Here is a 12,240-nt window from a genome sequence, read left to right on the forward strand (position 1 = left end):
CATTCCTGGTGCGTAAATATCTTTGAATTTCTCAGCTTTGGTTTAGACAAAGCATGTTCTTCTTGGGGCACAGGCATTGAAGCCACCAGACACCCAGTGAAAACGAGCAACAAGTTGTGAAATTACCTGCATTTTCAGCTTCAATCCCTTGGCATACCTGGGGGCATTGGTGGTAGGACCTCCATGGATACCAAAATCCTCGGATGCTCAATTCCTGATATCAAATGAAATAGTATTTGCATATAACCTATGCACATCTTCCTGAATACTTTAAATCATCTCTAGGTTACTCATAATACCAAACACAATGTAAATGCTATTTAAGTGGTTGTTACGCCGTATTGCTTTCATATTTGCATTTTTATTGTTATATTGTTATTTTTATTGTTTGTGGGTTTTTCCTGAATATTTTCAATCTGAAGTTGGTTGACTCTGCAGATGCAGAACCCACGAATACAGAGCACTGTCTGGAAAGTGAACAACAAAAAGTATTTTCCTAAGGAGTCATAAAAATCCTTTTTTTGTCTGAGTTAGGAGCAATTATCTTGATGGCGCTTCTTGAACTCTGCAGTATCAAGTGGAGATTTACGTAAGAGGAGGTTTAGATGGTTAATGATAACCGTTCTGCCAATGGGTCATTGCACAGTATCATACACATGAATATGCATGTCTCCATCTAGACATCTCTAGAGCCACATCCACTTGTTGACTGATATCATACAGAACAGATCAGCTCCTTGTCACTGGTTCCCAGCAGAGAGCTTTAGAAACCCCTGGCACTTCCTGAGTGATGTGTTCTTGGTATTCATGAGGAGCCTCTTTCCACCACACCTGGGTTTCGTTTGTTTGTTTTGTCACCCAGGCTGGAGTGCAGAGGTGTGATCATGGCTCACTGCAGCCTCGAACTCCTGGGCTCAAGCAATCCTTCAGCCTCCCGAGTAGCTGGGATTACAGGTGCATGCCACCATGCCCAGCTAATTTTTGTATTTTTTGTAGAGACATGGTTTTGCCATAATGCCCAGGTTGGTCTAGAACCCCTGGGCTCAAGAGATCCACCCACAGCAGCCTCTCAAGGTGCTGAGATTACAGGCATGAGCCACCATGCCAGCCACGCCTGGGTTTATGCTAAGGAGGTGACTCATGGGTGAACCCTTAGATAATTTCAAGGGAGGGGCTGACAGCACCACAAAGACCATGCATGGGTTTACAGTTCCACTCCCCAAACCCCTGAGGAAGGCCACAGTGATTTCATCGACTGCCCTTACATAATGAAACCCCACATAAAACTCTGGACTGCAGGCTCAGCAGAGCTTCCTGGTGGTGAACATCTTAATGTGTTGAGCATGATGCCCTGGATTCCATGAGGAGAGAGCGCAAAAGCTCGGCATCCCTCCCATCCATACCCCAGAAACTGCCCTAGCTATCTCCTCCATGTGGCGCTTCCTGAGTTAAATCCTTTATCAGAAAACTGTAATCAGAAGCACAGCATGCTTTTGGTGGCTTCTGTGGGCTGCTTTATTGAACCTAAAGAGAGGTTGTAGGAACCCCAAAATGTGTAGGCACGTTGGACAGAAGTGCAGGTACCTTGGGTATTTTGGCTCAGGTTTGGTTAAGGGTATAACCTTAAAATAGAGGGAATCAATGGACAAAGCCCCTCGCCCCCTACAGCTGGCATCTGGAGTGAAGGAAGTCTTGTTGGGGACCCAGCCATTAACCCACGGGGTCTGCACTAACTCTAGGTGGTCAGTGTCAGAATTGCATTGAATCGCAGGACACACCATTGGTATCAGAGCTGACATTAGAACACCTGTGGAGAGAGACACAGACAGCAGGCAGAGTCGCTCAAATGCTAATGAGGCTTCTGTCCCAGAAATCCTGGTCCTGTGAAATGTGCCCATTTCCCTTTGGAATTAGCCTGCTGACTGAGGGGTAGCAGAAATCTATTGTTCACCACACCTGCAATTTCAATGTGGGCCTTAAGCCAGAGAAAATTAATATGGAACTAAACAGTGATTCGTTCCAGGTGCGCCCATGCTCCTTTTCAAATCCCGTGAGAGTGAAGTCAGAAATTCTTCGGAAACATTCTCTTGGTTTTATGCTGAAGTTGCTGGGAGGATGGAGGTCATCCTGAAGTTGACTGTCATCTTGATATCATGAGGGCAAGTCTGCCCAAGAGTGAAATCAACACAAAATAAAATAAGGCAAGCTGTGGAAAGAGGGTGTCTCGATGACATATTTCACACTGTGTGTGTCCAGCTGAGACAGAAGGCAGAGTACCTCAGCCTTGTAGTTAAAAAGGCAACGAATCCCCCTTTCTGTTTCAGATAGTCTGAGTTGTGTTTTCTGTCACTTGCATCTGAATGGTTTCTGAAAAATACACCAAGTCGAAATCCACTTAAATGTTTCTAGCAAGCAGAAGCAACTTAGGAAGTGTCTCAATATTGGTTCTATTCTGTGGTATCCTGGAACTAGTTCATACTGGCTTGCAAAAGCCAACTGTAAAATCTTCAAGAATTTAGCAAGTCAGCTGCTGAACTCTCGGTAGTTTGAAATTAGCCATGTGGGCGTGAGAACCAATTTTTATTAAACATGTACCAGCACACCATGGGCTCCAGATCTAGGGTCAAAAACCTATCTTCAGAGGCTATATGGGAAGTTCCAAGCCAGTCTCTGAACCCCACTAAAAATCCCCCATGGCCCTTCCGGCCTGGATGTGATCTTTCCATAGGCAGCCTCCATAGGCCAGGCCTACAGGAACGGAAGAGGAAAGGGATGGAACAGACAATGTCTGCAGGAAGGCCTGTGTGGGTCCACACTCCCCAGCGAGCTGCTTCCCTTCATTTACAGCTCCACTCAGCAAAGAGGCGGCTCCTTAATGCTATCAACTCTCCCATGCTTCCAGGACATACCCTGCCAAGTCCCTTCCACCAACCTCAATCACAGACCAATAAAAGATCACTTTCCAGTTTAGTGACGTCTCAGTGTCACAGCGGGTGACACAAATAGGATTAAATTCCTCTATTCAGTTGCTAAAGAGACAGACAACAAAGCCTCTCCTAACACCCAATCTCTTTTTCCTGATAGGAGTAAATCTCCCCAAGACAAAGTGGGCCTTGGGAGGCACAGAACTCCTAATCCAGTTTACACAGGGGGAGGACAAATAGGAGACACTGACAGCATCGTGAACGTGAACTTCCCAATGGAACAACTCTCCTGCTCTCCAGATTAAACATCACGATCCCCTGCCGTGCATCCCCTGCCTGGGGTCCCCAGCTGTGGCATTATCTCCTCAGCATTCACTGTTCACAAAGGCTTTTCAACTGACTGCAGAATAACGTTAAGAACTAATGTTCTATCAAGTCTAAAAGCTGCAAAGGTCAAACTTGCTCCCACCAAGGGAGAAAACAAACACGAAGGATGCTGTTTAGAAGAGTCATGTTGTTGGGGTCTGTGTCTATCTGAAAGCCACCAACTAATGTGGTTAAATCTTTGGAGCGAAAGTCAGTAAGCAGCAATCCCTGCACCATTTTCAAGTACCTTTGTAATGTACCGACGTAAGCTCCAAGGTTCTGGGTTAAATGGCGCACAGGATGTTGACCGTCCATGCGTGAATGAGTAAGCTAATATCCACCATGTCAACAAACCCGTTAATAAAACATGTACCTCATGCAAGATTCAAATATGTTAGAGCTGGGCAAGAGATTGGAAATGATGCTGTTCATACTTCACGCGAGGCAGATGAAGAAAGAGAAGCCTAGGTGCCTCTCAATAAAAAGCAAAAAGCATTATTCCCTTGTGAAAAAAATGATCCTTCATTCAGCGTGAAGAAGGCGGCTCTCCTATGAACACCTCACTCTTAATCTTGTTGAAAGACCCTGAGCAAGTCACGCGCCTGGAGTCTGATAGACCCATTACAAAAAGAAAGGTAGGGAGACGCTATGAAATTCTTGCGCCCCAATTATTGCAGAGGGGACACCGTTTTGATTGAATTGCTCAGACGGTTATTTTTCTTTTAATTTATCGCATCAGACATATGCAGCACGGACTATCTTCAGGCCTCTTTGTTTCATGCTCTAAGATCTGATAGAAGAGGGGGCCTCCGAACAGATGCATTATTCTGATTGTGATTAACAAAATGGAAAGGAAGAGTGTGTGCCAAGGGGAGAAAGCTGTTGGGATTGTCATTATCACACCATTTCGCTGATTTGCTGCAACTCAAATAAGGGCAGAAATGAAGACAATTAAAAGAGAACCAGACTGCCGTCGCCTACATTACTATAAAAACAAACAATAGGAATTTAAGCTGATTCGTCAAAAGCAGCAGGAAATTTCAGCAACAGAATTTTTAAAATCCCAGTTCTTTGCAGAACCATTTCAATGGCTAGACGCTGAACCAGCGTGAACCTGGGCACAAAGAATGGATCTGTCTTGTTGAGAATCTTTACTACCTTGTTTCAAATTACCTCTTTTACAAAGAGACTGAATGAGTGGGTCAACCACAAGGGATCAAATGCGCCAGAAGTAAAACTCACAAAGGCCTGATTTCACAAAAGCAAAACTATGCCCTTTGTTTTCATTTTTCATTTTTGTGGTTAAAAAACACACAGAGAGAACTAGAGAGGGTCTTTCTTGTGTACAGATTTTATATCATTTGCCAGAGAAAAGTATTCTAGGCTGAACTGAGAATTCATGAGACGATAAATTTTAAAAATGTAAAGTGAATCAGGCAACTTTTAAAAAATCCTTCCACTAACTCCCCATTCATTTGCTCTAAGTGACTTGTTTCCACCCATCTTTGATTCCATGATCTACCACTCTTCCTCTCCCGCACTAAACCTCAGGCCCTGCTCAGACGGGGATTACAACAGAAGGCTACAAACTTTCTAAGATGAATACATCATGAAGCACCAACGTGCAGCACTTTGACTGTAGGTAATGAGGCCGTATTGTGGACTTGAAATTCACTAAGAAAGTAAATATTAAGTCTTCTTACCACAAAATACGATAAATATGTGAGGTAATGCATATGATAAATAGCTTGACTTATCCACTCCACAATGTACACATATAGCAAAACATGATGACGTACACCATAAATACATACAATTTTTACTTAGTTTAAAAATAAATCGGGAGGCTGAGGCAGGAGAATCACTTGAACCTGGGAGGCGGAGACTGCAGTGAGCTGATATCATACCACTGCACTTCAGCCTGGGTGACAGAGCGAGACTCTGTCTCAAAAAATAAAAAATAAAATACATAAATAAATTATTTTAAAAGTAACTGTGTGAGGTGATGAATGCGTTCATTAACTTGATTGTGGTAATCATTTCACAATGCATATGTATATCAAATCATCATGTCATCCTCTTTAAATATACATAATTTTGTTTGTCAATTATACCTCAATAAAGCTAGGTTAAAAAAAAAAAAAAAACGGAGGTCAAAAAGCTACAGTCCCTGGACTAAATGCAAACTGACACTTACTTTTATACAGCCCCAAAAGTAAAAATGTTTTTCACATTTTTCTTTTTTTTTTTTTTTTTTGAGATGGAGTTTCACTCTTGTCACCCAGGCTGGAGTGCAATGGCGCAATCTCGGCTCACTGCAAATTCCACCTCCCGGTTCAAGTGATTCTCCTGCCTCAGCCTCCCGAATAGCTGGGATTACAGGCGTGCGCCACCACGCCCAGCTAATTTTGTATTTTTAGTAGAGACGGGGTCTAGAACTCCCGACCTCAGGTGATCTGCTCACCTCGGCCTCCCAAAGTGCTGGGATTACAGGCGTGAGCCGCCATGCCCGGGCTGCACATTATTTTAATGGCTAAAAAGAAATGAAAAGAAGGATGATATTGCATCACATATAAAAAGCATGTGTAATTTCAATAAGTAAATCAAGCTGTATTCTAGCAGAGGTACAGACATCGGCTTACATGTTGCCTGGGTGCTTTTGCACCAAGACGACAATTGAGCAGTAGTGACAGAGACCGCATGGCCTGCCTGCAAAGCTGAAAGTGCGTGCTGGCTGGCCCTTAACAGACAAAGTGCGCAAGGTCGTGGCTTAGAAGCCACATTGTATTCACCCTGTAGGGCTTTCACACTGGCCCTAGAAAGCGCTGATGTCCGATGGCCTCACAAGTGCCTCAGGTGCTATCTGTTCAGGCTGCCTTAACAAACCGTCATAGACCAGTGGCTTAGAAACAACAGACATTTATTTCTCAGAGTTCTGGAGGCTGGAAAGCCGAGACCATGGTGCCAGCGTGGTTAGTTCCTGGTAAGGGCCCGGCTCTGCGTTGCCGACGTCCGACTGCTTGTGGTATTCTCACCAAGTCATGGAACTGGTGCTATCCTGAGTCCCATTTAGAGAGGATTTGTAGGTTCAAATTTAACAAATGTTAAAGGGAGACACACGGACATCCAGCAGGCATGGCGGGGAAGAGAGGCGTGGCCTCTGTGGCTACTCTGTGGCCTGGAGCTGCAGTTCAAGTCACAGAACAAGGGAGGCTGGCTTGGGGATTTGGCAGGGAGGCAACGGGAAAAGCATGCGCCTCATCCCAGGGAGGCAGTGAGAATGCCAGCCCAGCCAGGGCTTCCGATTTTCGAGAGACAGCAGAAATCCAAATTTATCTTAATTTTCTTGATTTAAAAAATGTTGACAACTCAATTAAGAAAACAACACCAACAAAATTCTGTTGATCAAACACAACATGTCCATCAGCAGCGGGTGGCTGACCAGCTTCCATTTTGTTAATTCTGGCCTGGAGATTTCCAATTTAATCAACATGGTAGTGTCCATCCATCCAGCCATCCGTTCATTATTTCCAAGAGCTTCAGTGTATTCTAGGCTGTGTTTTCAGCATTGTTAAAATGCTGAGACTTCATTCGACAGACCTAAAACATGGTTCCTGGTCTCCAATAGCTCACTACCTAGTTCCAGAAACAAGACATATAAATAAAAAACCTAAGGAAATCGACAGAAGGGAGGCCCTTAGGCTGCGTGTAGATTCTTACTACTAAAGCAGCAAGAAGTGAGCCGAGAAATGTTATTTCCATTCCAAATCCAATTATCTGGTGATCTAAACTCGGGTCTTAGCATCCTCATCACCAAATCCTATCATTGGGAAGAAGAACTGCCATCGTTTTGTTGATCCTAACAAAGTCCAAAAGAAAGAACAAGCAAACCATTATTTCCAATTCAGCAATCTTTCCATACCTGGAAGCTTGTTTTGAGATGCAGCAGAAATGATGGCTAAGGATTATTGGTTGACTGTGATTTCTCTACAGTAATCTCCACGGCTATTACACTACCTCTTTCATGAACACATTTGTCAGGACCTTATCAGCAACAAGTAGCATAAACCCAAGACCAACTTGCTTAAAGAAAAACAAGAGAATTTATTGGCTCATGTAACTGAACAGCTCTGGAGGTATGGGTTATGGCTTCAGGTATGGCTGGATCAAGCCTCAACAACGATATCATGTTTGTCTTCTCTCTGTCTCTTTGTGTTGGCTTCATTATCAGGCTCTCTGGGGTGGCTTCCAGCAGCTTCAGCTTGGCCTCATCCTTACTGCTGTTAGTGTCCACAAAATGGGACCTTATTTCTTCCAAGATTTCCACCAAAAGTCATGAAGCTCTCTCTCCTCTACTGGAATTAGGTCAGGTATTAACGCCTGACTCAATCACTGTAGCCAAGTCAATCTGTTGACTGCCCTTTCCTAGTTCTCAATCTCTGGAAGCAAAGATGGGCTGAGCCCAACCTCACTATATGAACTGATACAGAGGAAGGGAGGGTTCCCCAAAAGGAAACAAACTGTTGTTATGAGCGTGGGAATAGATGCAGAGCGTGGGAATGGAGTGTGCAAATGCAACTTCTATCCGTGAAGAAGAGACTATATTCCCTCCCCAGCCCAAAACAAGACACATTTTACAAAGAAACAACCTCCTTCAGATGTTATGAAGAAAAGGAAACTATTAATATTAGTTTAACTATGAATATTATATTTATAATTATGTAATATTATAGTATAATACTATATTAAAACTATTAATATTATTCCAGAGCTGAGACAGAATGAAATAGAAAGTTCACCATGGCCGTGGTACAAACACTTTCAGAGAACCACACACTGTGGGTAAGAAGAACTTCAAAGAGATTTCTGTGACCTTCCTTAAATCTCAAGCATTTCATGTACACGTGTCAGACCAAGAATCCACCTGATCAACAGCTGACTCTAAGGGCCGCTGGCTAGCAGAAGGAAGCACCCATTCCTATTTGTTCAGCTGAGAAACATCCTTAAACGCGTAAAACAGATAAGGTCACAGAGAATCTCATTCATCTGGCTTCCCACAGTCAGCCTGCAAACAGACATGGGTCAGAACAGCAGGGACAGCAATTTGAGAATAGCGGCTTAATAATACCTATTAACCAAACGCGCGCGCGCGCACACACACACACACAGAGAGAGAGAGAGAGAGAGAGAGAGCGCTATAAGCTGAAGCCCATCTTGCAGCCTCTCTAGAGAGCTCTTAGGCAGTGATGACAACTCCTTTTGGAAAGCTTACTCCTGGGTGTCTTCATACTGGCACAGAGGTAGCTGTTTCTCTTCCAGTCATGCCAGGATAAGTTATTCTAATGTCTTCATATTAACCACTCCCCATGAAACACTGGTAAGGCTGCATGAAATGATCTTCAAGCCTGGAGTGATTCCTAAAGCACAGAATCTATATTATAGACTGGGGTCAGTTTGTGGCAATTTTGCCCTGAGAACTGAGACCATCTGCATCCACAAGGCGAGAACTAAGACCAGCTATTTAATATATCAAAATGCCTGTACTGTCTGTTCCAGGAAATTCCTGCCCAGGAATACAAGACTGTGAAATAATACATGATCTCACTGTTTGCTTCAGGAAATTTTTGAAAACGGATTTATTTAAACAATAAATGGCTCACCTGGGCTAAAAGCTCACTTATGAAAAGACTGTGCATCAGGATTCACCTCAGGTCCCTTGTTTTGGTGTGTCTCCTCTATTGAAGGACCTACCTTAAGCTACTCGGGCTCAAACCCCAAATCTCTTTTAAGTATCTATTCTCGACCTTCCTTTCCTGAAATCCTACTGAGATTCTCAGTGATTGCTTTACGTTACTGTAATTAAGCTTTGCTTAATGAAGGAGTTATAGTATGGTGATCGGGAGGTGGACAGCTGCCACCTTCACTTTCTCTGTCCTATTCTGTGCTGTGGGTTCACTGACTCCTGCAAGTTACATCCCAAGGCTCCATGTCGCTGGTTTTAGGCTGGGATGGACCAATGACAGCTACTGGCAGGAGACTAGAGGATGGAAAAGAGAGCCCAGGGCTGTCCCCCTTGCCCTAGGCCTGGGGTGTCACCCCAAGTGTCTGCTGCAGATTGCTTTTTTTTTTTTTTAAAGACACAGTCTCGCTTTGTGCCCAGGCTGGAGTGCAGTGGCATGACCTCAGCTCATTGCAACCTCCACCTCCCGGGTTCAAACGATTTTCCTGCCTCAGCTTCCCCAGTAGCTGGGATTACAGGCACCTGCCCAGCTAATTTTTGTATTTTTAGTACAGAAAGGGTTTCACCATGTTGGCCAGGCTGGTCTTGAACTCCTGACCTCAAGTGATCCACCTGCCTTGGCCTCCCAAAGTGCTGGGATTACAGGTGTGAGCCGCTGCACCCGGCCTACAGATTGCTTCTTGGAAGCACCTGCAGGATACACCTGTCTTGGCACCTGGACCCTGGAAACACCATCTCCTCCCTCTGCCCTCCAGCCTAGAGAGGGCAGCAGCTCCCTGTTGTAGCTACTCTCTCAGTTTCTTCCCCTTCCACTGTTTGACACACAGCTTCTTCATCATTTGTAGAACCAATTTATTTTACCAAATTCTCTGTGATGGAAATATGTGAAATGCAGTCTATTTTCCTTGTTAGGCCCCAAGTGATATATTTAAAAACTCCACTGGGGAAATAAATGTCATAAAATCAATCCCAGACATAAGAGTTTGTGTTCCTTTCCTAGATCACAGTCTCACTTCCCCAAAAAGTCTATGCCTCAGTCCTACACATTAGAGTCAGATGGGAAGATTTTTAAAACAGACTGGGGTCCCACCTCAAATCAAATACATCAGAATCTCTGGGTCTGCTGGCTGAAAACAATGTTTATTAAAAGGCTTTGTGTAAGATGCAGAGAACTGGAAAAAGTATCACTTCCATCCTAACACAACATCAAAGTGGGATAAACTACAAAATAATAGTTTCTTGAACACATCAAAGAGCTGAAGTTGCAGAGAAACCAATTAGCGTGAAATCAAAGGAAAAACAGAGTCCTGCAAAGCGAGAAGAAACGTGAGTAATGGCTCAGTTGCAGCAGGAGGAAGAGACTCCAGGTGCCATGCCAGGAGACGATGGTGGAAAAGGTGGAAAAGGTGGACAACTCTGAAACACCTAGGGGGAATTTGGCGATGCCATAGAAACTAAGAAAATGCCAACAGAAATGCTAGAAATAATATAATCATGAAAACTCACAATCAGAGATGAAGAATACCTTCAATAGGCTGATTTATAGATTAAAAATGACTATGAACAGAATCAGTGGTAGGAAAGTAGGTCAATAAGAAATTATTAATAATGGAAATACTGAAAAAGAAGACAACCAAGAAAACAAACGGAACAGAGCATTGAAGACCCTCTGAGGCAATATGAAACAGTCTAGCATACTTGCAACTGGAATTCCAACAGGAGGGGAGAGGAAAACAGGAAAGAGGAGCTATCTGAAGAGGAAACATGTGATGATTTTCCAAAAGTCATAAAAGATTCAAACCACAGACCCCAGAACCTCAGAGAATCCCAAGCAGGATAAATAAATTTTAAGGGACATCTTGACACATCATGTTTAAACTTCTAAAAAAGAAAAAGAGAAAATGTTGAGGGCAGCAAAAAAAAAGACACATTACACACAAAACAACAAAGAAAAGAATTTCAGCAGACTTCTTGTCAGAAGCTATACAAGCCAGAAGGCAATGAAGAGATATCATTAAAGTACTGAAAGGAAAATCATCAACCCAGAATTCTATACCCAGTAAAAACAGCTCTCAACAATGAGGGTAAAATAAAAATATTTTCTGAAAAGTAAAAACTGAAAATGCATAACCATCAGACTTCTGATATAAGATATGTTAAAGGAGAGTCTTCAGACAGAAAGACTGTGTTACAGGCAGAAATGAATATCTGCACAAAGAACTGAAAACTTCCGGATGTGATTAAAATGTAGGGAGATATAAAATCCATTTTGTCTTATCTTGAATTGCTCTAAAAATAACTGTATGAAGCCAAAATAACAACAATGTATTTTGGGTTTATAGCATGCCCAAAAATAAAATAAATGGCATCAGTAAAACCAAAAGTGGGAAAGAGGAATTGGAATATGCAGTTGGCAGGTGATTACACCACACGCGAAGTAGTAATATTGCTCAGAAATTAGATTGTGATCAATTAAATGCCTGTATTGAACACCCTATGGCAACCACTGCAGAATTTTTTAAAAGATAAATAATAACCCATTAGTAGAGATAAAATAGAGTTATTAACCATATTCTAAGAAGCATGCAGAGAAAAGGGGGATGCCAGAAGGCCACAAAGAACAGATAGAACAAATAAAACATTGCTAGGAAGATTGTAGATGTAAATCCAAACATATAAAATTATATGAAATGCAAATTGTTTAATCAGACCAATTAAAAAATACAGATTGTCAGAATGAGTATAAAGTAACGCCCATTTACACGCTGTCTACGGGAACACATTATGAACACAAAGACATTAACTAGTTAAAAATAAAAGGATAGGGAAAATACACCAAGTGACCTGAAGTAGTTATATTAATAATATAAGAAAAATAAACTTCCAAATAACCAATAACACTGGGGAAAAAGGATATTACATATTTATAAAGGAGTTGATACACTTAGAATGCATAATAATCCTAAATGTATATGCAACTAACGACAGAACTTCAAAATACATTCAGCCACAACTCACAGAACCATAAAGAGAAACAAAAAAATCCATAACTATTAGAGCAATGTTGAAGAGGTACTCCTCTCAGTAATAGAAAATATACATAAAGAAAATTCATAAGAATATGGACTATCTGGTATGAACCAACTCATCTAATTGACATTTACAGAGCACTCCTCACAACAGCACAAAATAACATTCTATTCAAGAGCA

General features: G+C 42.4%; 1 protein-coding gene across 1 annotated transcript in view, besides 1 other annotated feature; it reads right to left on the reverse strand.

Moving 5' to 3' along the window:
- The window catches only part of TMEM132D (transmembrane protein 132D), an 832,300-nt gene that overhangs the window by 797,446 nt on the left and 22,614 nt on the right, over positions 1-12,240 (reverse strand). The window lies entirely within an intron of this gene.
- Positions 2,593-3,564: an enhancer, noted in NCBI's record as "OCT4-NANOG-H3K27ac-H3K4me1 hESC enhancer chr12:130356309-130357280 (GRCh37/hg19 assembly coordinates)". NCBI's record gives its function as "activates a minimal SCP1, AML or CMV promoter by ChIP-STARR-seq in naive H9 embryonic stem cells {active_cell/tissue: H9 hESC(naive)}" and the evidence as "EXISTENCE:reporter gene assay evidence [ECO:0000049][PMID:30033119]".

This window comes from Homo sapiens, chromosome 12, assembly GCF_000001405.40.
Source record: "Homo sapiens chromosome 12, GRCh38.p14 Primary Assembly".
NCBI classification, from domain to species: Eukaryota; Metazoa; Chordata; class Mammalia; order Primates; family Hominidae; genus Homo; species Homo sapiens.